We start from the raw sequence: 27072 nt of genomic DNA, 5'->3' as shown, positions 1-27072 counted from the left end.
AGCTCCATAGGAAGAGATCTTTAATCCTGAATAACTCAGAAGCTACTTACCTTCTGGCCTTAATAGACAAGGATCATCAGGTCAATTCTAGTGACTTTGAAGAGGAAGTGCTCTTTCTCACTTCTCCAGTGCCAATATCTGAGAACCAAGCCATGTCCTCCACCTCAATTTAAGATGTCTGGACATGAGTGTCCACTGCTAAGGCAGAGAATCTGAGCCCTTTAGGGTCACCCAGGTTATCTTTCACCCTCATCTTCAGAAGCAGAGTCCTCACACTTCTTAAGGATAAGGTTAGAAATCTAGAATTACGGATTTCTAGTATTGTCTTCGATTTTTATCCTCTCTCTTCCCTTCCCATGGGAAATGCCACCTGATAATTTCTAAGTTCTCACTAATTGTGGGTGCATGAGAAATATTTGATAGGTGAATAAACGCCTAAATGCCCCCAGATGTCTACCCCTGATACTCCTTGTAGAACCCCATGATTAACCTCATTTCATTTTTTTCTTTCCTTTTTCATAAAGCATTTTGACTCCCAGAACAAATAATCACAAATTCGTGTGTATGTGTGTGTGTGTGTGTTTGCATGTATGAAATAAATGATAAATAACGGCAAAAACTGACATTGTCAGTGAACTGTGGTCTGGGATGTTTACCCTTAAAATAGAGGAATAATTATTTTTTTTATGAATTGCAAAAACAGATAATAACTGATAGACTTTGAAAATATTAGGATTTTTCTTTCTAGTAACTGTTTGGGCATCTACACACCATAATGAGTCAGCTTCCAAGACTGATATCTACCAAGTAGCATTCATAGGATGAAAACAAAGTGACCACATACATCAGCCATCTGTCCAAAGCGATGAACCAGCTACATTAAGGATGAACTGAGTCTTCCAAAGAGGATCAGGAGATGTTGATGTATCTCATCCAAATTATGAAGTTGATACAGAGAAGTGCTTAGTAGCTAGACAACTCTGGGTTCAAATCCAAACTTACTAGCTGAGTAATGAGCCATTAGTAGGTTATTCAACTGCTCTGCAATTCCATATTTTCATCTGTACAATGAGGACAATATGGACTTACTTCATAAGGCCAGTGTGAGGATTAAATTAGTTAAAGCACACAAAATGCTTAGAAGGATGCCAGACACATGATAAGCATTCAATATATGTTAGACATTGTTGTCCCTTTTCTATGATATTACAGATAAAAGACTTTACTATAACCACCATAGTCTGACCTATATCCCTTTAAACCATGTGGTAGACTTAATGTGTCCTTTGCCATTAAGTTGACAAGCAAAGTCAAAAGGAGGTCACTATAATCTAATATGAGGACAAAGCAGGACAGACATGATGGCACATTTGAATTTAGTCATGGTGTATAGGAACCTAAGTAAGGATGTTGCTTGAAAATAGCAAAATTGGAATTTATTTGTGATGTTGGTAGACATTATCTAATAATTTTCAAATAAATTCATTAAACAGGTGTTGAACTAAAAGACATAAAGAGATGCCTTGGGTATCATCTGGATGTATCTCTGGCTTTCTCTGAAATCTCTGTTGGAGCTGAATTTAATAAAGATGATTGTGTAAAGAGGGGAGAGGGTAGAGCTGGTAAGTGTGGCCTCACTTGTTAGATTTTATAAAGCCTGAGGGTAGATGTCAATGAGCACTGCCCTCTTGCAATGAGCCCTCTTAATTGTCTGTCCTCTTTGTGCTTAAAAACTATCTTACATTTAAAGCGGTTTTCAAACCACTATAAACACCGATAGCGCATGGACATGTATTCACCAGTATCACTATTGTGCCAGTTGTACAGTACACAACTCAAGGGGGTGTGATTCACACGGTAGTCATTTTAGACTTGTATATTTATTATGGCAATAGTAAAAAAGTATCTTCATAAAAAGTTTCCTTTCTTCACCCTAATTTTAACAAAGCTTCCAAATAAGCAAGCGACAATGTTCGTGCATCCATTAACAAAGGACAAGGCCAAAACCATTTCCCCAACTCCACCTTCCATCTAAATTGAAATCCCTAATTCATCCTTAACTTTAAATTGGTGCCTAACCTTTTCAAAAATACAAATATGTTTGGTATAAATATTACTTCCTACTGTTAATCTTTAGCAGATTTACAAGCATGAATTAGTGCTAGAGTTCTCAACTTTTCCTCTAATCAGAAATACCTGAGAACATTTTTAAAATACAAATGCTTAAAGCTCACCTTTAAAGGAAGAGTCAACTGGTAGTGGGGAGGCAAAAGTGAGGAAAAACCTGATATATTTAAAAGCATACCAACCAATAATATGTGTCCATGATTGAAAAACCAATGATGAAGTAGTGGAAAAAAGCTGAATTTGCCATTATACGGTATAATTTCTATATTTGGTCCTTAAGCTAACTGTGTGATCTCTGACTAGTCACTCCACCTCTCTAAGTTTCCAATTTCTCTTCTATAAAAATGAAGAGGGGATGACAAAAATTATCTTGAAATTCCTTTCCAGTTTTAAAAATTCACAGCTGTAAAAGACTTACAAAGTTTTGTTAAAAGTGGCTTCATCTACAGAGAGACACTGAGGGAAACGATGGGTAGGATTTGGGAGTGGAAAGAAATGTTACTTTTCACTTTATTCTTTTTTGAACTCTTCTTTTTGTAATATTAAAACATATCAAAGCAAATGTACACAATATAATTATGAAGGTAAGTTTGCAAAAGAAAATATATATTACACCCAAAGTCATATTTAGTTCCCGTGAGTACATGTTTGTATGTGAGGAGCTGTGAATTTATCAGTGTATCTAGACCATGGGTATCATTTTTATTTTTTAAAAGAGATGACAGAAATCTACAACTGGTTACTAATGTAAATTTCCATTGTAGATTTGAGGTGAAAAAATGCATAAGCAATATTTACAATTAAAATTTAATAAATACATTAGGCTGTATTTTACTAAAAGGACTCAATAAATGTTTATCATATGTCCTTTTGATAACTGGCTTCTCTTTAAACTTCTTCTGCTTCTCTTTAAATCTTCCTTCTCTCCTCAGTAAACATCACCAGTGAAAACCTCATAGATGATGTTGTTTCACTCATAAGAGGTGGAACCAGAAAATATGCATTTGAACTGAAAGAAAAGCTTCTCCGAGGAACCGTGATTGATGTGACTGACTTTGTCAACTGGGCCTCTTCCATAAATGATGCTCCTGTTCTCATTAGTCAAAAAGTAAGAAACGTGTTTATTTTCAAACAGAAGACTGTGTCATTTTTTTATTAAATGTCACATTGTTTCAGGTGAACTGTTAGCTTCATCTGAAAGAGACGTGAACATTCAGATACACTCCCATTTCTTCCCCAAAAGGAGGCATGGCATAGAGAAAAGGCATGGTGTAGAGTCAGACCATCCTGGCTGACTTCCTGTCTCTGTCTCTCACTATGTGTGGGATGTTTTCTGACCTCTACAACACTGAATTCTCTAGGACTCCATCTTTGTTCTGAGAATTTAACGAAATTGCTTATATAGAGCATACAGCACACACTGTAACAAGATAGGTACTCACATATGATTAGTTCCCTCCCGTCGGCCCCTGGCTGTTCTTGCCTTCCCGTGGTGTTCCACTATCACGTCTAACACAGGAGAATTGTATTTACTAAGTGTCTTTTTTTTTTTTTTTTTTTTTGAGACAGAGTCTCACTGTGTCACCCAGGCTGGAGTGCAGTGGTGCAATCTCAGCTCACTGCAACCTCCGCCTTCCGAGTTCAAGTGATTCTCATGCCTCAGCCTCCTCAGTAGCTGGGATTACAGATGCGCACCACCACATCGAGCTAATTTTCTTGTATTTTTAGTAGAGACAGGGTTTCGCCATGTTGGCCAGGCTGGTCTCAAACTCCTGGCCTCAAGTGATCTGCCTGCCTCAGCCTTCCAAAGTCCTGGGATTACAGACGTGAGCCCCCATGCCTGGCCTAAGGGTCTTTATGAAAGAAATGTTCATAAAGTCTACAAGAAAATAAGACTAACGGTGAACAATTCTTATGGTCAGTAGATTTTTTTCCTTTTTCTATCTTGATTATAATAGTTTTCAGCTTACAAACCCTTTGGGAGTTCATAGTCAAGTTCTTATTCCTAGACAAAAAAAAATGTGTTATCATTGTAAAGATATAAATGACAATGTTATTTAGCCTCATCTTTCTTTCCCCAAGCTGCCTAAAACTAGTATGCATTTTTCTTTACTTCTTTTACTGGTACTATTAGTAAGTGCTTTTTTTCTACTTACCTTTATAACTTTCAATTTTCGCCGTATGTTTTACAATTTGCTTTCCTCAGGTCACATTTATTTTTGACTGCTCCCTACTCCAGTTTGATTAACTTGAGTTACAGAAATTTTAACATTTTCATAGGACTAGTTATTGGAGAATTTTATTCCTTTATTCTATTTTATTGTCTTTAAAGAATGAGTGAAACCACTATCTCCTTTATGTGAAGAAGGAACTCAGAAACTGAAAATTTTTATAATCTATTCTCCCTTTATGTTATAGAAATACAGCCGTTCATAGATATGCAATGTATTTATGAGTTAAAATATTTTGTCCCAAAGTAGGACAAAAAGGGGGAAAAAAGCTGGTGAAATTCCATGTATGAAATTAAAATCAGAGGATGCCTCTTTGATCTTATTAAATTTAAATCTAACACAAATTCATTATCTTGAACTCAGTAAAATAAGTTTATGTTGGAAGATCTTAAATAAGAAAAAAAATGGGTGATTTAGGTGAATATTTACATCGAGGTGAACATCCCAGGAGGCTTATTTTCTCATCTCTACAAAGCAAATTCAACTGTCTTTCTACAAATTCAAGAGTGTTCTCTGAAGAGGTCTTAATAATAGTTCAGCACGTTCTAGAGATAATTTTTTAAATCTCAAGTAAATAAGGCAGCTGCTGAAGATTTACTACTAGATTTATTAAAACTATTCAAAGACCCTCATCAACTTTGTTGGTGCAGTCCTGCTGTATGGATGCACAATATAGTTTATCCCATTTTTAGGGACAACCATTTACTTCCCCAAATTTTCAGGTTGGTAGGCATTCCATTTAGACTATCTGTATAAGTTTCTTTCTTGATAAACTGGAAGGCTGGCCTTTTCATATCAACATTCTACCTAAGGAAATGGTAGCTATAGTTAGTTCACTATGGACCACTTTTTAAATTTATCTTCTTGTAGAAAGAGTTGAGGAAAAGCAAAATTATGGGTTTTGTTGACTTTGTATGACTTTTAAGTCTCTGAAGAAACATGAGATATAGTTAAATTTGATCTTGAATTAGATTCCAAGTTATTTTACTCTCATAATTCAGGTAGAAGTGGACCTCTGGTTAACTTGTAGCTATTTCCAGGAGACAATTACACAATCTATGATCACTAATTCATTTTCAGGAATTTGAAGCATTATGTTGTCTGCAGATGACATGTTCAAACATAGGGGATAGTCTTTTGAAGAATTACTAGAACCTCTCCCCACCCACCCTAAACTATAAACTGGTCAATATTAAATCTTCTGTAGCAAATTAAAGCAATTATCTAGGTATTTATGTTGCAAACTGATTATCTTGGAGGAAAGACCAGAAAGGTGACTGTAAGCTCTCACTTAATATTATCAATAGGTTCTTGGAAACTGTGACCTTAACCAAAATGACCTGTAACAAAACCAATTTTACCATACGCTAATGAATGGGTTAAGTTCCTGTAGTGTATTTCTGGTCACAAAAACATCACCAAACTTCTAAATAAAAACTGAAACACTTCTAATATTAAATTTTGAAATATATGTAAGCTATTCACACATTTTAAAAAGATTAATAAAAACAAGTAAGATAATGATTTACCTGTTTATTCTAGTTCAGGGTAGTCTATCCCAGCAGCTCAGGGTGCAAAGCAGGAATCAGCCATGGACAGAGCACCGTCTCAACACAAGGCAAACTCCACACACCCACACTCACTGAGACTAGGACCATATAGACACACTGATTTGTCTAGCATGACTATCTTTGGGATGCGGGAGGAAACAAGCAGAACCAGAGAAAGCCCACACAAACATGGGGAGAATGTCAAAATCCCTATGCAGACAGTGACCCCAGCTGAGAATTGATTTTTTTCTCAATATTACAAAGAAATGACCTTGAATGAAATAACATTCTGGGACCTGCTGTTTTACTCTAAGTGGAATGCTGTATGAATATGTTACTGAGATTTTCTAAGTAAACTATGTGGTAAAATATATATGTTATAAATATATAGTATATATAATTATAAATATAATTTATAAAATACTATAAAATAATATAGTTTATAAAATCTATAAATACAGTTATATATTTTTCCGTACTAAAGTAACTATAGCCATGCTCTGTTAGGTAGAACCTGTGGTTTTGAGGCCCCATTTGTCTGCTTTGTCAAACCCAAAACCACTTCTTGAGGAATGTCTTGGCCCAGCCCAAAAATCTCTCCTTGGCCTTTCTCCATGCAGAGGACATAGGCTGGCCCTCTCTTTCAGTACTTACTTTTGTCATGGTCTTCAGCTTCCATGAAAGTATATTAATTCTATTGCCAACTTGCCTGAATGTTAACACAAGTGGTTCTACAGTTTAACTCAACAGAATAGCTGCACTTTGTTTTCCTCTTAAACCTACTGCTACAAATTAGTTATTAAAATGTCAGCTAAGAGAAATTACATTTATTATAGATTGCCTGGAAGATATAAAGATTATTATTTCTTCTAGAGCAATAGCAGCAAGATGAGTACAGCTACAATATTGGCTTCCTGTAAAGTTTTGTTTTTCCATTATTAGAAACAAAGTTATGTAATCTACTGTTTTATTTACTAAAAGGTTGTTATGTAATGCTGTGTCCTCTTTATGAGACTCATAAGAAATATTACTCTTTAATCTCATTTTGTTTCTCTTGGGAATCAGGTGAGTTCTTCTACCTGATTGGTAAGAAATGCATGAGATCAGTAAATTCAACTGTGTCTTACTCAATGCACTAGAAAATGAAGCTAAATTTGTGACCTACTTCATGCAAATGGATGGGTCCTCCTGGCATGAATGTAGTTCATTTTTGTTGCTTTTGCCTCCATCTTGCTTTTTCTGTTCTCAGTTCTCCTTTCCCATTTCCCTCAACCACTCATATGTCTATATGTTAAGCTGTATTAGTTCTTCCAGAGTTACATGATGTAGTAATTCATGAATTAATTAACCCGTCATTTTTGCTCTATTGTGTAACTGTTAGCAGTTATGAACCAGATGTTAAAGAGCATCAATATTTTAAAGGGTTGTAGTACCAGTGAAAATCATTTCTAACTCTCTTGTTTAGGGATAAAAAACAACACTCATTCTATCAACAAACTACAGTTGGTATACATAGTTTATTTTGGATGTCTGAAGGAAATCTCCACCTATTTATTATTAAACTATATTATCAACTTATTTATACTTTACCACTTTTATGGTAGATTATATCCTACCATAAATATATCAACACATGGTAGAAAGATAGAGTTATGTAGTATAGGAGAAAAAGTAAAATCATTTTCTTACTTAATAGAAGATAAAAGTTCATCAGAAAAAGATGGAACCCTTCAGGAAAACTTCAAAAAGTACATTTTAATTTTCCTTTGTCCTCCTGTGGAATTTTTAACTCCAGGATTTGAAGCTCCTCTGAAACTATTGCCATTGCATGTCCTTCATCTTTAACTCTTCCAACACTGTTTATACATTTAATCCAAATTGTATTTCCTTCATGACCCTCTATTCCTGTATCTTAGACTGTCTGGCCTTGACTTTCCTTTGAAGGGTATAACAAGATGAATTTCTTTAAAAAAAAATCAAAATAATTCTACCACATGCCTATGTTGTTTGTGCCAATGTGACAATGTTGGTGAGAGGTTTCCTTCTTTCAAATAAATATGACATGGTTGAAATCTGAATCCTATATACTATATACTAATTCATAAAAGACTACACTGGTGAACAGTTATGCTGACTTTGTAGAAGTTCTTGATATATTCCATATATGAGCATATTCACAACTAAAGTTTTGCAAATATCTTCTCCCACTAAAGAATTTCATCTTTAATGGTGTTTTTGATACAGATGTCCTCTTATGTACTTTTTATTTTGAACTAATTTTAGACACAGCAAAATTACACAAATAGTGCAGATAGTAATATTGCAGAAGTAGTATTGCAGAAGTAATATTGCAGAATAGTACAGAGAGTAATATTGCAGAAATAGTAGAGAGAATTCACTTATAAGCTTCATCTCCCAGCTCCTAATGTTAGTAATTTACATAAGCATAGTAAAATTATCAAAATCAGAAAATTCACACTGAGTAATTAGCTAAAGCACAGGTTTTGTACAAATTTCACAAGTTTTTCCCTTAACCTTTTTTTTTTCCTGTTTCAGGATCCAATCTAGGGTCCCACATTGCATTTAGTTGTCACATCTCTTTACTGTCTCCCAATCTGTTATAGGTCTTCAGACTTTCCTAGTCTTTCTCAACCTTGACACTTTTTATGAGGACTGGTCAGTTATCACGTCAAATGTCTCCCAATTTAGCATTCAAGTAGGTTAAGGTTATGCATATTTGGCAAGAATACTACAGAAGTAATGTTCTGTTATTCTCAGTGCATCATATTATGGGTTATGATGTTGATGATTTTTTTATTTTGACTTAGTTAAATGTATCTTTCTATTCACTATAGTTAGTGCTTTTAATGTTTGAATTAAAGTTGTTTCCTACCTCAAGGCCTTGATACTTTCCTATGTATTATCCTTCAACAGCTTTATTATTTTGCTTTTATATTTAGATCTACAATATTAAACTTGGTCTCACTAAAATAAGGAATACACGAAAAATATTAACTCTCATCATTTTTATTTCATATTACACTGAGTCCTAGCCAGTGAAATAAAGCAAGAAAAATAAATAAAATACCTAAGGACTGCAAGGAAGAAGTTAAACTGTCTTTCTATACATGGTATGTTGTTTAAATAGAAAATTCTAAGAAATCTATAACTCTACACTACATTTGTGTATTTATTTCTCCTTGTACTTGGATCAATTTTTATTTTATATATTTTAAGGCATATTACCAAAGGCATACAAATTTAGAATTATTACATTTTCTTGGTCAATTAAAATGTCTTCCTTTATTTCTAGTAAATGTTTTCTGCCTCAATTTTTTTTTTTAAATTACCTATGTTTGCCAGACGTCTCTGTTGGTATGCACATAGCACACATTCTCCAGTCTTTTTTTCTCAATTTGTTTGTGTCCTCAAGTTTTGTTTGGATTAGTTGGACTTTTTAAATCAAATGTGATGATCTTTGTTCTTTTCTTTTTCTTTTCTTTTTGCTTCTTTTCTTTTTGTTTTTGTTTTAAAGATCGAGTCTCACTCTGTCACCCAGGCAGGAGTGCAGTGGTGCAGTCTTGTCTAACAGCAACCTCCACCTCCTGGCTTCAAAGGATTCTTCTGCCTCAGCCTCTCAAGTAGCTGGAATTACAGGTGCTTGCCACCATGCACAGCTAATTTTTGTATTTTTAGTAGAAACAGGTTTCACCATGCTGGCCAGGCTGTTTTCAAACTCCTGACCTCAAATGATCCACCTGCCTTGGCCTCCCAAAGTGCTGGGATTGCAGCCAGGAGCCACTGCACCCAGCCTATTTTCATCTTTGACAAATACTTCTTAGGCACCTGCAGTGTACCAGGCTCTATTGTGGCATTGAGTCTAAAGCAGTGAATAAAAGAGATAAAAATCTCTAACCTAACAAACCTTTTCTAATATAATCCAAAAACACAAGTGAAATAGATATCATAATGTTAATATTTTAGTGTACATTTTCCAGTCATCAGAGTCTTTATCAGAGGTATAGTTAGCCAATTTGAATTCATATAATATAATTTTATATCTTGGTTTTTAGTGAGTAGTATATAGATACATTTTAATGTAATTAGATTTTTAAAAATAGACATTACTTATGTAAAGTAAAATTTATTTTTTTTAGTGTAAAGGGCCCTAGGTTTCCACAAACACTTACAATCATGAAACCACCATGAAAACCAATACATAAAACATTTCTACCACACAGTTCTATCATGTCCATTTTCAATCAACTCCTCTTTCCTGCCCCACTTCTACATAACCACTGATCTATTTACTGCCATATAAATGTAATCACGTAACTTTTTGAATTTGGCTTCTTTCACTTAGTGTTACACATTTGAGATCCATCCACATTCACACATCGACATTCTTGTATGTATGAGTAGTTCCTTTCATTTTCATTGCTCAGTAGTATTCCATTATATGTAGTTCCATGATATAGATTAAACAGTTTGTTTATCTAGTCATCTGTTGAAGGACATTTATTTGTTCCCAGACGGGGATATTTTTTGGTGATTATGAATAAAGCCATTATAAATATTTGAATACAGAATTTTGCATGAACATATTTTTCTTTTCTCTAGGAGAGAGATTGCTTGGTCATATGATATGTGTGTTTATACAAAATTACATAAGAAATAGCCAAATTTTTTTCCAAAGTAGTTGCATTACCACCAGAAATATATGAGAGTTTCAATTCCTTAGATAATCATGTCATCTGAAATAGAGATTTCTTTATTTTCTCAATCTCTATGTATTTTATTTCTTTTTCTTGCATTATTGCATTGTCTAATGCATCTAATATAATATTGCACCATTAAGTATGATGTTAGCTGTAGGTTTTACATAGATTATCTCTATCAGGTTGAGGAAGTTCCCTTTAATTCCTAGTTTGCTCAGAATTTTTGTCATAAATAGATGTTGAATTTTGTCCAAGAATTTTTCTTTATTGAGATGATCATATGGTTTTTCACTTTTAATAAGTTGTTATGGTGAATGATATTGATTATTTAAATTTTGAGCAAACCTGGTGCTTAAAAACTATTGTATTTGGTTTGCTATTGTCTTGGGATATTTTGCAAATATGTTCATGAGTGATATTGATTTGTAATTTTCTTCTCCTAACTATTTTTATTTGGTTTTGGTATCAAAGTAATGCTAACTGTAAAATAAGTGAGAAGTAAATTCTTCTCTATTTTATGAAAAAGTTTTTGTAGAATTGATATGTCTTTTTTAAATGTTTGTAGAATTCACCAATAATGCCATCTAGGCCTTCTTTGTTAGAAAAAAATTTAACTCTAAATTCAATTATTTAAATAGATATTAGAAGTCCAATTATGCATTTTTTCTGATTCAGTTTTTATCAATTGTCTTTCAAGGAATTTTTCCATTTTATTAAGCAGCTGATGTCTGTAGATTCTATAGTGATATCCTGTCTTGGATTCCTGGTATTGTTAATTTAAAGTTTTTCCCTTTTGTCTTATCTTGTTTGATTTTTAATTAATCTGGTAGAGGTTTATCATTTTTTGTAATCTCAAAAAAGCAGCTTTAAAAAAATTTTCTCTATTTTTTTCCCATTTCAATTTCTATTTCAATTCTCATTATTTCCTTCCTTATGCTTTGTACTTAAATTTTTCTTCTGTTTCTAGTTTCTTAAGCTGGGTGCTGTTATTATTGATTTTAGATATTTTTTTCTTGTCTAATATAGGTATTTTGTGCTGTAAATTGACCTTTAAGCATTTCTTTAACTGTGTCCCACAAGTTTTGATGTGTTTTCATTTTCATTCAATTTAAAATATTTTCTAATTTTTTGTGACTTTCTCTTCTACACATGGGTTATTCAGAAATGTGGTAATTAATGGGGTAAATATTTGGGGATTTTTCAGATAGCTTTCTGTTACTTATTTCAACTTTCATTTTGTTTGGTCTGAGGACATACTTTGTATTATTTTCATTATTCTCAATATATTGAGTATTTTTAAGGCATAGATATGCCTATGTGCACTTGAAAAGAATATGTATTCTGCTGTTGTTGGGTAGAATGCTCTGTAAATGTCAGTTAGGTCAATTAGTTGATAGCACAGCCCAGGACTTCTTTTCCTGTGCCCTTACTCTTTCAATTATAGAGAGCAGAACTTTGAAATGTCTAGGTATATTTATTATTTCTCTTTTCAGTTCTATCAGTTTGAGCTTTATGTATTTTAAAGTTCTGTCATTGGGTGCATACACATTTAGATTATATATCTTCTTTGTATATTGAAAACTTCATCTTTTTATTCCTAACAATATTATTTGTTAAGAATTTTTTGTATGGTAATATAGCCAAGGAGGTTCCATTTAATTAATGTTGTATGGGATAACTTTTTCCATCCTTTTACTTTGAAACTATCTACAGCTTTGTATTTAAAGTGAGTTTCTTGTAGACAGTATATAGTTGGGTCTTGCTATTTTTATCTAAAGTAACTATCTGTATTTTAATTAGTGTATTAAATCCATTTGCATTTAATGTAATTAATGAAACAGTTAAATTAAAATCTGTACTTGCTAGTTGTTTTTATTTGTTCTGTATATTCTTTGTCTCCTTTTTGCTCATTTCCGACATTTCTTTTTTAAACTGACATATAAGAATTGTACATACTTATGGGGTACATAGTGATATTTTGATAATGATAATGTATAGTTATCGGATCAGGGTAATTAGTGTATCCATCATCTAAAACATTTGTCATTTATTTGTGTTGGGAACATTCAATATTCTTCTTCTAGATACCTGAAACTATGTATAATAACACATAATTATTAACTATAGTAATCCTACAATGTTATAGAGCACTAGAACTTATTCCTCCTATGTAGTTGTAATGTTGTATCTTTTAACAAATATCCCTTTCAGTATGCTCTTTCCCATTCAGTATGATGTTGGCTGTGGTTTTGTCATATATGGCCTTTATTGTATTGTCTTTCCCCTACCCTTCCCAACCTCTAGTATCCTCTGTTCTACTTTTTACATCTATGAGATCAGTTTTTTTTTTAGCTTCCACATATAAGAGAAAACATGCGGTGTTTAGCTTTCTCTTTCTGGCTTATTTCACTTAACATAATATCCTCCAGTTCCATCTATGTGGCCACAAATGACAAGATTTTGTTCTTTTTTATGGCTTAATAGTATTCCATTGTGTACATACATTATTTTCTTTAAAAAGAAAAAATACATTATTTATTTATCCATGTGGCTACTGTGAATAATGCTGCAATAAACAGAAGGGTGCGGATGTCTCTTTTATATACTTATTTTCTTTCCTTTGGATAAATGCCAGTATTGGAATTGCTGGATCATGTGATAATTGTGTTTATAGTTTTCAAAAGAACCTTCATATAGTTCTACATAGTGACTATACTAGTTTACATTCCCACCAACAGTGTTATGAGTTCCTTTTTTTTCCACATCCTTGCCAGCATTGTTTATTTTTATCCGTTTGATATTGAACATTTTTAAATATACTTTTTGGCCTTTTATGTGTGTTCTTTTGCAAAATGGCTCTTCAGATCATTTGTTTATTTTTCAATCAGATTATTTATTTTGTTGTTGTTAGTTGTTTGAGTTCCTTCTAAATTCTGGATATTAGTCTCCTGTCAGATGCATAGTTTGAAAATATTTTTCCCCATTCTGCAGGTCACGTGTTGATTGTTTTATTTGCTGTACAGAAGCTTTTCAATTGGATATAAACCATTTGTGTATTTTTGCTTCTGTTCCCTGTGCATTTGAGATCCTATTCAGAAAATTTTTTCCCTGACCAATGTCCTGAAGCATTTCCCTTATGTTTTCTTCCAGTAGTTTTATAGTTTTAGGTCTTACAATAAAGTATTCTATATTGGGTTGATTTTTTATAGGACAAAAAGTGGGGGGTTAATTTTATTCTTCTGCATATGGACAATCAGTTTTTCCTAGCACAATTTATTGAAAAGATTGAAAAGAAACCAGTTATTTTTCTTGGTACTTTTGTCAAAAATTAGTTGACTGTAGATAGATATATTAATTTCCGGTTCTCTGTTCTGTTCCATTTGCTTATGTGCCTGTTTTTATGGCAGTACAATGCTGATTTGGTTACTACAGCTTTGTAATATATTTCGAGATCCGATAATGCGATACTCCTAGCTTTGTTTTTGTTGTTGTTGTTGTTTGTTTAAGATTGCTTTGGCTATTTGAGGTCTTTGTGGTTCTACACAAATTTTAAGATTTTTTTTTCAATTTCTGTGAGGAATGTCATTGTCATTTTGATAGAGATTGCACTGAATCTGTAGATTGTTTTTGGTAGTAAGGCCGAAGCCTGGAGCATGGGATTTCTTTCCATTTGTTTGTATCCTCTTCCATTTCTTTCAATAGTGTTTCATAGTTTTTCTTTTACATCTTTGGTTAAATTTATTCCTCAGTATCTTCTTTTGTAGCTATTGTAAATGGTATTGACTTTTTGCATTCTTTTTTGGCCTAGTTTGTTGTTCTTTAATAGAAATGTTACTGATTCTTGCATGTTGATTTTATATTCTGCAGATTTACTAAAGTCGATTGTCAGTTCTAAGTGTATTTTGGTAAAGTCTTTAGGATTTTCTACATATAAGATCATGTCTTCTGCAAACAGGGACAATTTAACTTCCTCTTTTCCAATTTAGGTGTCCTTTATTTCTTTCTCTTGCCTAAGTGCTCTGGCTCGGATTTCCAGTACTATGTTAAATAAGAGTGGTGAGAGTGGGCATCTTTGTTTCAGTTCTTAGAGGGAGAGCTTTCTGCTTTTTCTCATTCAGTATTATGTTGGCTGTGGGTTTGTCATATATGGCCTTTATTGTGTTTAATTACTTTTATTCTATACCTAATTTATCGAGAATTTGTATCACAAAGAGAAGTTAAATTTTATCCAATGGTTTTTCTGCATCTATTGAGATGATCACATGGTTTCTGTTCATAATTTTGCTGATGTGATGTTTCTCATTTATTGATTTCCATATGTTGAACTATTTCTCGGATAATTCATGCCCACTTGATCATGCTGTATTATCTTTTTGATGTATTGTTGCCATCAGTTTGCTAATATTTTGTAGAGGACTTCTGCATCTATGTTCATTGGGGATATTGGTCTATGGGTTTTTTTGTGTGTTGTGTCCTTGTCTGGTTTTGATATCAGGGTTATGCTGGTCTCATAAAATGAGTTAGGAAGAGTTCCCTTCATTTCAGTCTTTAAAAAAATTTTTGAGAAGAATTAGTGTTAATTCTTGTTTAAAGATTTGGTAGAATGCAACATTGAAGCCATCTGGTCCTGGACCTTTCTTTGTTGAAAGACTTTTTATTACAACTTCAATCTCTTTACTTATTATTAGGCTATTCAGGTATTCTATTTATTCTTGGTTCAAACTCGAGAGGTTGTATGTGTCTAGAAATTTATCCATTTTCTCTAAGTTTTTACATTTATTGGTTTATAGTTGTTCATAGCAGTATCTAATGACCCTTTGTGTTTCTGTGGTATCTGTTGTGATATCTCTATTTTTGTATCTGATTTTATTTATTTGGGGCTTCTTTTTTCTTTTTCTTAGTCTAGCTATTGTTTGTTTATTTTGTCTTTCTTTTAAAATAAAAACCTTTAATCAACTTTTTGTTTCATTAATCCTTTGTATATGTTTTCAGTCTCAATTTCGTTTATTTCTGCTCCGATCATTATTATCTCTTTCCTTCTACTATTTTGGGGTTTGGGTTGTTCTTGCTTTTCTAGCTCCTTGAAATGTATCATTAAGATGTTTATTTGAAAATTTTCTAGATTTTTGAAGTAGACATTGGTTTCTATAAACTTCCCTCTTACTACTGCCTTTTCTGTGTATCGTCAGTTTTGGTATGTTCTGTTTCTATTTTCATTTATTTCAAGAAATTTAAAACATTTCCTTCTTAATCTCTTAATTGATTTAATGGTCATTCAGGAGCATATTGTTTAATTTCCATGTATTTGTACAGTTTCCAAAGTTTCCCTGATTATTGACTTCTGGTTTTATTCCATGTGGTCTTAGAAGGTATTTAATATAATTTCAATTTGTAAAATTTTTTCGAGACTTGTTATGTTTTCTAACATATGATTAATCTTGGAAAATGTTCCACGCACTGATTAAAAGAATGTGCCCTCTGCAGCTCTTGGGCAAAAAGTTCTGTAAATGTCTGTTAGGTTCATTTGGTCTATGGTGCAGCTTAAATCCTGTGTTCTTGGATTTTTGATTTTTCTGTTTAGATAATCTCTCCAACGCTGACAGTGAAATGTTGAAGTACCCAAATATTATTTTGTTGTTTCACTTTAGATCTAATATTTGCTTTATGTATCTGGGTGCTCCAGTGTTGGTTGCATATATATTTAAAATTGTTATATTTTCTTGCTGAATTGATCCCTTTATTATTATATAATGTTATTATTTTTCTCCTTTTTACAGTTTTTGACTTGAAGTCTGCTTTGTCTGATATAAGCATAGCTACTCTTGCTTGCTTTTGGTTTACCTTTGCATGAAATATCTTTTTCCATCCTTCACATCCCATCTATGTATGTCTTTACAGGTGAAGTGAGTTTCTTATAGGGAACATATAGTTGGCTATTATTTCTTTTTGTCCATTTAGGCTATCTATATCTCTTAAATGGGGAATTTAATGTATTTACCTTCAAGGTTATTATTGATAGGTGAGGACTTATTCCTGTCTTTTTATTGATTGTTTTCTGGTTATTCTGAATATCTTTTGTTTCTTTTTTCCTTCCTAGTTGTTTATCTTTGCAGTTGAATGGCTTTCTGTAGTAATCTGGGCATGTAAGACCCCCTGGCCTTCCAACCACCAGAGATGCCTTTCTGCTTCCCCCTGAACTCCAGCACTCTCCCTTTAACATTTCAGTTAAATCTTGTTTATTCATTACATTGTTCCTTTCTTGTCCTGACTATTCTTTTTTATTCAGTATGTTATATGATTCCATTTTATTTCCAGTATTGATATATTACTCATGTCTCTTTTAAAAAATATTTTTTACTCTATAACATATGATTCACAATATACATCCTTAATTTATCATAGTCTGCCTTCAAATGATATTATGCTGCCTTATGTATAGTGTAAAACAAATACACTATATTTCCAAATCCTCCCTCCCATTTTTAATGCTATTTTTATCATATTGTATCATGAGTTTATAGTGTATGTATATTTTACATACATATTTTTAAATTTTTACATACACTATAAACTCATACTACAATGCGACAACATTTGCTGTAGATAATATATGTTAGAGCAATTAAAACTAGAAAGGTATATTTTTGCCTTCATTTTAGTTATGCTCAGAGCTCATGATTACTTTATGTAGGTCCAAATTTTAGTTCTTTGTGGTAATTCTTCTGCCTGAAAAATTTCCTTTGGCATTTCTTTTAGTGTGCATTAGCTAGTATCAAACTCTCTTGGCTTTTTCTTCTCTGAAAAAAAAAGTATTTTTTTCAATGACATTTCATTAGGTATAAAATTCTATGTTTACAGTTTGTGTGGATTTTTTTTTGTTTTGTTTTGTTTTTGTCTTTCAGTACTTAAAGATATTACCCCTTTGTCTTCTGGCTTGCATAGTTTTTAAATAAGCAGTATGCTGTAACTCTTATCTTTGACCTTCTGCTTGTAGCATTTCCCTTTGTTGTCATCGCCTTGAAGATTTCATTTTAATCTTTGGTTTTCCACAGTTTGAATGAGATGTATATTTATTCTGCTTGAAGTTCCCTAAATTTCTGGAGTCTATGGTTTGATTATTTAATTACTTTTGAAAAATTCTTGGTCATTATATCTTCAAATATTTCTTCTGCCACAATCACATTCTCTTTCTCTCCCCCTCTCAACCCCTTCTTATAACCTCTTCACTTTTTTCAAGGATTCCAGTAACACATGTGCTAGTCTCTTTCATATTGCCCCACACTCTTGGATGCTTAGTTCTGGGTTCCCTCCCTTCAATTCTTTTATCTCTTTGCACTTTAATTTGGCTAATTTCTACCACCCTTTTATCAAGTTTACTGATTCTTTCTTTTGCTGTGTCAAATCTACTGACAAACTCATCAAAGATATTTTTCATCTCTTTTATCATGCTTTTTATTTTTTACATTTCCATTTGACTCTTTATAATATTATTGATTGTATCTAGTAAAGTCAAATTTAGTCTACTTTCAAAATACTAAGGCTTTTTACTAAACTGTTTTTAAGATTTTCTCCATTGTCTTTGGGTTTTGTTTTTTTAGCAATTTTTCTCTGATAATACCTAGCTGCAAAATTATTTTTCACCGTAGTTTTTATTCATAAGATATCTTGTTGTTTTTCACCAGGTCTGGAATATTCTCAGTCATTAGTTTTTCAAATATTGCTTCTTATTTATTCTGTCCTTTGTTCTCCTTCTGGGGCTCAAAATATATGGATCTTTTCCCTTCCCACACTATCACTTATGTTTCCTTCCCTCTTTCTGTATATCCTATCCTTTTGTCTCTTCATGCTTTATTGTCAATATTTTCTTCTTACCTATATTGCAATTCATTAAATTGCTTCAGTTTTATCACATTTGCTATTTAACTAATTCACTAATTTGTATTCTAATATTTGTTTCTTTTTTTCAAATCTATTTTTAATAACTTCCAGTTCTTTGCTAAAATTTTCAGACTTGTCTCTTATCTCCCTGTTTATGCAAACAGTTGGTTTAAAGTCTGATAATTGTTTGAAGTCTGATAGCACAAACATTGGCAGCCACCATAGCTGTTTCTATTTTCCATAATTTCCACTGGTCTCATTCATGTTGTGTTATTTCCTTGTGTGCCTAGTTATTTTTACTGTGGGCTAAATACTGTACGTAAAATTATTATAGGAGTAGCCTGATGCCTGGGGTAATTTTGTATATTTCAAACATATATATTTATATTTGAAAAGCTTCCAGCATCCCCACTAATGATCCAAGATTATTTTAATCCAAACTGGGCTGCAGTTTCTGCCAGAGCTATCCTACTTCCACTTCCCTCTTAGTCCCCAAATCAAAGGATAGCATGTCTACCTTGGTTGATCTGAATTCCAGTGTTTTTTCCTCAGCTCAGTAATGTGTTGCTCTACCTCCTAGTCTCTCTACTAACTCTTGCTGAATTAGGAAATGTGTCAAGAGGACTAGTAGCCCTAGAATACTGGGCCCACCTCTTGGATTTCCACCTCCTCCCAGATCTTAGATCAGTGATTTTTTATTTTCTTATTAGTTGTCCAGGGCATTTTAGCAGTTTTAAAAAAAAATGTTTGGTTTTATTTTGTTTAGCTTTCCTCATTGTCCTTAGGGAAAAGATGAGTCCACATTATTTAATCCATCATTATTCTTCTGCAGGAATTTGTGGGGTTTTTTTGGTTTGTTTTTTGTTTTTGTTTGTTTGTTTGTTTGTTTGTTTTAGCTCTGGGCTCTATAGATTCTCATTTCTTTTAAGTTTTGTGGTCTCTTGTTTTAAAGTGCTCTGCCACCAAAGTGCCTCTATTTCTAACAGTTTATTCACTCAAACAGCTCTTGCTAGTTACACAATTGAATTTGCTTAAATTAAGTGAACATATAAATTTCCCTGTATATGTTATGATATCTCCATTATAAGAACTTTTTAATTTTTTTCTATGATCATCAAGCTGCACAATAGATCTTCTGAACTTACCCCTTCTATCTAACTACAATTTTGTATCTTTGGAACAACATCTTCCCAACTTCCTCCTCCATTTAAAAACTTTCAAAATTCTTTACTGTATGCCTGAAATAGTCTTCTCTCTGCCTTGACACCTTCAAATCTCAGCTCAGTATTTATTGTCAAAGCTTTCCAAACTTCCTTGATTTCAGTGTAGCAACTGTGTATCTTACTGCAGGAATTTGAGTGTGCCAAATAAATACTTTTACTTCATTTTCTTTACATCTAATTAAATGTGATTTTGAGATCATGTCCCTCCATGTTGCTAGAAAATTCACCTTTCATTTACTTGTTGGATGGGGCTCAGGAAATTTTTTCCCTGCTGTCTAAATTGGTATAAGAATCCTAACACTTCCATCTGGGAAATGGAGATATAATTTACATATGCCTTTAGTTCATCGTAGTTACCTCAATAACCTTATTGTTCAGGCTCACATGTTCACTAGAAGTCAAATATTTCCAAGCCCTCCATGCCAGGCTTGCAAATGGAAATCACTGACAAGACTGGATTCCTGATACTTCATATGCAGCTTCCTCAAGGCACCCCATAGGTCCTTCTATCTCCCAAAATAGCTGCTAAATATCTAGCTATGGTTTCCTGTTACTTGAGGTATATACTAACTTCTATCCCCTTTCTATTCTGGAGGAATCTCTTTCCTTGGTGGCATTCTTCTATATTCCTTCCCTCTACAAAAATTTCTCAATGAATTTAGACTTTTAGAGGAAAAAAAAAACAAGAAAGAAATTAGAAAAAGGTTGCCTTCAGGGGCATTCTGGACTTGGCCTTGCACACAAACCTCCTCTTAGGCAAGAGATAGCAAGCATCTGGTTACCTTCTGGAAGAGAAGGAAGAAGGCAGCAAAAACAATTCACAAAATATGTCAATAAATTATCAAGCCAGAAGTTTAAGTCCCTCAGTTGTTCATTTTTAAAGCACATATACCTGTTTTTTTTTTGTAGCACCTATCACACTTTCTATTTGAAATTTATGCATCATTATTTTATTAATATCAGCCTCCTTAACTCCGTAATATGACCTCCCTGATAGCAGTCATCTTGACTAGTTTTGATTGTTTAAAAGCTAACATCACATCTGGCAATACTATACATTCAATAAGTCTTTGTTGAATTAATGAATCAGTGAATGAATAATTAAGTAAAGTGTATTCTACAAGTTCTCTCAGTTAAAAAGGACCTAAAATTAAATGTTTTGCTTCCTTTCAGCTGTCTCCTATATATAATCTGGTTCCAGTGAAAATGAAAAATGCACACCTAAAGAAACAAAACTTGGAAAGAGCCATTGAAGACTATATCAATGAATTTAGTGTAAGAAAATGCCACACATGCCAAAATGGAGGTACAGTGATTCTAATGGATGGAAAGTGTTTGTGTGCCTGCCCATTCAAATTTGAGGGAATTGCCTGTGAAATCAGTAAACAAAAAATTTCTGAAGGTGAGGACAATTTATTTGATGTGATTAAAGACAAAAATATGCACTTTGGGGTTATCTAATTTGAAAACTAGCTCTTGAATTAATTTGTACTAAATCTCTAGATTATTTATATAAACAGAAGATAAAGATTGAGTGAATAGTGAAAATGGGTAAATCAGCCTTTATGTGTCATTCTGACATATTCTACTTGTATATATTAAGATAGAATTATAAATAAATAAATTATAATTATTGTATTACTCTTTATAAAAATATTCTTATAGAAGGTTTACAGAAATACAACAAACATCAGGTATTCACTATATAGAATTGATGAATGTTAATACATATATATCATATACACTTTGCATATATATGTGTTTATGTGTATAGACGTAGACATATATACTTTAAAACCCTTTTTTAAGAAGCAACAATAATACATCCAATTAATTACTTTGTACCACATCCCCGCCCCCCAAAAAAATTCTATTGCCTTTTCTCTCTTCTACTACTCAGATACAGTCACTTTCATTAAGTTGGTATGTATCTTTCCAGTTCATATTTTTGTGCTTGTACTAAATATGTATGTACCAATGAAAAATATGTGATATTGTTTTGTATGTTTTTAAATTTTATATAAATGATATTCACTAGATTTTTATTTTGCATTTTTAACTGTATTTGTGTTTTTGAAAGCTGAGATTCTGTATTGTATTTTTAAGTTAATCATAAGGAAACATTATTTTACATTAAAAATATTTTTATTATGAATTTAAAGGGTACATGTGAAGGTTTGTTACAAGGATATATTGCATAATGATAAGCTTTGGGCCTCTGGTGTACGCATCACCCAAATAGTGAACATTGTACCCAACAGGTAATTTTTCAACCCTCATCCCCCTCCCATCCTCGCCATTTTTGGAGTCCCCACTGTCTATTATTTCCTTCTTTATGTCCATACATACCCATTGTTCAGCTCCCACTTATAAGCGAGAACATGTGGTATTTGATTTTCTATTTCTGGGTTATTTCACTTAGGATAATGACCTCCAGCTCCAACCATGTTGCTCCAAAAGACATGATTTCATTCTCTTTCATGGTTGAATAATATTCTATGGTACATATGTACCACATTTTCTTTATCCAATCATCCATTGATGGACATGAAAGTTGATTCCATGACTTTGCTATTGTAAATATGTATTGTAAATATGTGCTATTGCACATCAAAATATGTGCTGCAGTAAACATATGTGTGCAGGCATCTTTTTCATATAAAGATTATTTTCCTCTCGGTAGATACCCAGTAGTGGGACTGTTGAGTGGTAGTCCTATTTTTAATTTTTTGAGAAATCATCTCTATTCTCTTACCATATACAAAAATTAACTTGAGATAGATTAAAGACTTACATGTAAGATCTGAAACTATAAAAATCCTAGAGGAAAATCTAGGAAAAACTCTCCTGGACATTGGCCTAGACAAATAATTTATAACTAAAACCTCAAAAGCAAATGCAATAAAAACAAAAATAGACAAATAGGACTCAATTAAACTATTTTACTTCCTACAAGTAAACATGACTTTAGTCATGTTTCTAATCCTAAGAGTTTATGCTTAGTATTTCATTCTGGTAGAATTATTCAGACTCCTAATAGATTAGTGAGATCTTAGTCCAAGTGTTAATATCACAAGATTAGCTATTAAGATTAACTTTCTATGGCAATCATTGTTTGAACAAATACAGTTTCCTGAAACAAAATTCTAAAACAATTATGTAGCCAAAGTTCACAGCCTCGTTTATCATTCAACCATATTTTCATCTCTTACAATATAAATTTTTAATATTTTATGAATTTTTTACACTTCTCAGCAAATGGCTTAGAAACTCAATCATGTGGTGACAAAATATGTAAGTTAGAATTTAATTTAAATTTTAGAATGATTGATTTATAAATGTATGCTAACTCTGTCTCTCATCGGTCTAAAGTCTCAATCTAGTGCTTTGCGTTCCAAAAAAAACTCTCACTCTCCAAAAATGTATACTACTTGGTACTTGGAACGTCTATTTTCTACCTATTTCTCTCTATGTAGAATATTCTGCTGATTTCTCTGTGATTTCTTTAGTTCTAGCTTTTAATTTTCCAATTATTTTATTCAACTTTGTATAGTCGATCCATTTGCTGACCTATTGAGATTATTTTAAAAGTATTTTTCTAAAATTTTGATTTGGTTCTTTTTCAATTTTCTTTTGTCTAGTTTTTTCTGTTGTCTAGTCTACTGGATTATTTTCCTACCTTTATAGCTTTCAACATGTTAAATATATCTTCACGGAATTCTTTCAAATTGTTCCAGTATATATTGTTTCTGCAGTGCAATTCTCTGCTAAGTCTACCAATTCATTCTCATGGCATATTATGCTTTCTTCAGTACTTAGTGATTTTTTATTACAGGCTTAGTTTTTGGTGGGAATTATTTCCTGTGGAAACCCGTCTTCCCTGGATAATGAACATATTCTTAGGGTTAGTTTGTTTCTTAGGAGGTCCTATCATTTTCATCAGTCTTGCACTAGATTTTTATGTAAAGTTCTTGGTTCGGGTTCCATATGTTGTGTTTCATAGATAATGAATATCAAGGTCCCTTCCCCAATATAAAATTATCTTTGATCACTAGGCATTGTTTGGTTGACCTTTCAAACCTGACCCAGGATGGCCCACAGCTTCTTGCTGAGACATTAGACATTTTCTTGTTGAATTTTTCCCTCAAGGTAGATCTTCCAAGCATCCATGTTGACATAGAATGTTCTAGTTTCCAATTTACACTAGCTTACACCCATGATGAGATTGAAAACCGTAACACATCATCTTTCTTTTTCTATACCATTTACTTAGCTTGAAATGCTTCCAACTTTCTCTCCCTCAACTAACCGAACCTCCTTCTCCCTTATTCCTTGTGTGCGTTTCTACTCCTAGACCAATGGCTCTCAACCAGGTTGGTCATTGGATTCATCTGGCTCACTTCCTTAAAGGAAAAAAAAAAAAAGAAACAAAACAAAACAGATGTCTATCCTAAGCCAATTAAACAAAAGCAGCCATGGTAGATCCTGCCTGGGCATGGGTTTTTTGTTTTTTGAATTTTTAAAAAATCTACTGGTTATTCTAATCTTTAGCCAGGGTTAAAAACCTCTATTTTGAACCCAGTCCAATTAGCATATCTTTGATGAAACCTTCTCCAATTTCTCCAGGAATCAGTTCTCTATCTATGCTGCCTGAGAACTTTCCCTCTGTTTTTCCAGCACTAATCACATTGACTCTCTGTATACAAGACAAATAGCCCTTTCTGGTATGAAAATGTGCCTTGTACCTTACACCACATTCTATTCCCAGTACCTAGACAGTATGGCACAACGTGGTGCAAGAGGATAAGAAGGTGAAAAAGCGGATGGGTGGATGGACCCAAAGTAAAATCCTATTGATGATTAAGATTTGATACTTATTTGTTTTCTCTAGGATTGCCAGCCCTAGAGTTCCCCAATGAAAAATAGAGCTGTTGGCTTCTCTGAGCTCCAGTGGAAGAAGAAAACACTAGTACCTTCAGATCCTACCCCTGAAGATAATCTTAGCTGCCAAGTAAATAGCAACATGCTTCATGAAAATCCTACCAACCTCTGAAGTCTCTTCTCTCTTAGGTCTATAATTTTTTTTTAAATTTTTCTTCCTTAAACTCCTGTGATGTTTCCATTTTTTGTTCCCTAATGAGAAGTCAACAGTGAAATACGCCAGAACTGCTTTATCCCACGGAAAATGCCAATCTCTTCTAAAAAAAAACAAAATTAAATTAAAAACAGAATGTTGGTTTAAAAAACTTCAAAGTAATTTTCAAACGGCTTTGTATGGTTAACATATTCTGCCAGGTCCATGACCACACGTCTGTACCATGCAATTTAACTCTTATTTACATTGTTATGTTTAGTTTGGTTATTTGCTTAGGTGTGCATACATTCATTCAGCAAATGCTGAGCACCAGCCACGTGCACAGCAGTTGCTTTTACTAGTCTTAGCTCTACGATTTAAATCCATGTGTCCAAGGGGGAAAACATATTATATTTGTAACCAAAAACTACTAGTTTACCAGAGGACTGAAGGGAGATAAAGAGGAGTTGGTTAATGGGTACAAAAATCCAGTTAGATGAAAGGAATAATATAGATAGTGTTCAGTAGCAGAATAGAATGAACATAAACTATTAGTTTAAATTATGTGAAATTCCTTCTATTTGATCATATTTTACAAGAAAAAACATCAATTTTATATAGTCCAACTTAATACCTAGCCTTATGAGTTGTATAAGGTAAGGTTACCTACCTGAGAAGCTGATTAACATTGGTTGTACAATCTTATTCATTAGAGAACATGGTGCTTAGGGTCTGAGACCTTTTGAAAGGTCTGAGAACTCTTTAAAAAAAGGAAAGAAAGAAAGAAAAGAGGAAAAATATATCAAAATAAAAAAATGCAAAATGAGAATTAATAAATGCTTAAACATCAGTATGTATCATGTTAACTTTATTGTTACTATTAATAAACATTTCACACATTTATAAATAAATTATGTTACTTTCTCTCACTTGGCAGAAATTCACAAGAATGCATTTGATTGCTGGGAGATAACAGTAACTAAATTACCTACATGAAAATAATTTCAAAAGCAAAATTTTTAAAAATAATTTTCAAAATTGTTTTTAAATAGCAAATAAAAAGATTACTGGATGTGGGATGTATTTTAATATGTTAGGTATGATATGGAGATCATACTAATAAATGTGCCCTGGCCCTTAAGAGTCTTGCATTTGCCCTGGGAGCTCCAGAGAAGTTCTGTCCCCTGCCCTTCAAAACACTGTGTGAATTAGAGAGGAGTAAGATTTGTTAAATGTGTATAAATACTGAACTCTGTTCTTGAACAATCCACTATTGAGAGAGTTTTTGATGGAGAGCATCTGGCTCAAGGCTGTTATTAGAGTAACACCTGAGAATTCCTTCCACCCTTAGGAATTACAAATGTCAAACAATAAAAGAGCTGAGCCTTGACCAGACCCCCTAGGGCTAGCTTAATGATTTATCAGAGTCCTTTCTAGGGTAATGAATAGCAGGAACAGCCCAGGTTCACACTTGATGGAGAGTCCTCCGACTTCTTGCCAAAGGTGGTATATCTGATGATAGAGCATCTCCAGCAGGGAGCACTATTGAGACACCAGAAACTGCTCAACAGTAATCAACACAGAGCAGAAAGTCTCCAGGCCTAAACTAAAGGAGAATCTCTAGAAACCGGGAAAGATGAGGACCCACTAGGCCTAGCATGTGTCAGCGTGGACTGTTGTTTGGAGAGAGCAGATGTAGCTTAGTTTGCCCAAATGGAGTGCATTATAGGTGCCCCCTACTCCACATGCTCTCTGAGGGGGTGCACCACCAATTCAAGGAAAAGGACAGGTGAAAACAACAGCCCTGTGAAGCCCAGTCCAGAAAGTTGGATCGTTATACTAAATCACTATCGAAAGAAGCCAGTATCAAAAGAAGTTAGAGAAGTGGGATGGGTATTTATGTTCACTAGGACCTGATGGATAAAGGAAGCTCAGAGTTTTGCTACATTTTTACACTTTTCCCTTTTTATACTCAAAATTCAGGTCACTTATTTATTCTAGTGATCACAGAGTAGACAGTCAACATACACCTGTTGTCTAGTGTTCGACGTGTGGGTCAGCATTCTCACCCTGGCTTTACACAATTGTCTCCCCTGCAAGCCCTTTTAATTGTTTAATGGGACCCAACAATAGCATCTCCTAAATTAGTCTCCCAATATTTACTTATGAAAACAGCCCAAAATGGTAAATGATATGGTCTGGCTCTGTGTTGCCACCAAAATCTCATCTCAAATTGTAATCTCCATGTGTCAAAGGAAGGACCTGGTGGGA

General features: G+C 33.2%; 1 protein-coding gene across 1 annotated transcript in view, besides 1 other annotated feature; it reads left to right on the top strand.

Annotated features, from left to right (window-relative positions):
* Positions 1-25712, top strand: part of C9 (complement C9) — an 80356-nt gene extending 54644 nt beyond the window's left edge. Inside the window, exons 8-11 of the mRNA NM_001737.5 lie at positions 1494-1622; positions 3060-3235; positions 20901-21129; positions 24619-25712. Of these exons, the coding sequence (NP_001728.1) occupies positions 1494-1622; positions 3060-3235; positions 20901-21129; positions 24619-24653 (569 nt within the window). The 3' untranslated portion in view covers positions 24654-25712. The remainder of the gene's footprint in view (positions 1-1493; positions 1623-3059; positions 3236-20900; positions 21130-24618) is intronic.
* Positions 26518-26682: a silencer, noted in NCBI's record as "fragment chr5:39283272-39283436 (GRCh37/hg19 assembly coordinates)". NCBI's record gives its function as "represses an EF-1alpha promoter that drives an FKBP-Casp9 reporter gene in an ReSE screen in K562 erythroleukemia cells {active_cell/tissue: K562}" and the evidence as "EXISTENCE:reporter gene assay evidence [ECO:0000049][PMID:32094911]".

This window comes from Homo sapiens, chromosome 5 (genome assembly GCF_000001405.40).
Source record: "Homo sapiens chromosome 5, GRCh38.p14 Primary Assembly".
Lineage (NCBI taxonomy): Eukaryota > Metazoa > Chordata > Mammalia > Primates > Hominidae > Homo > Homo sapiens.
This window is presented reverse-complemented; position numbering and strand designations above follow the sequence as displayed.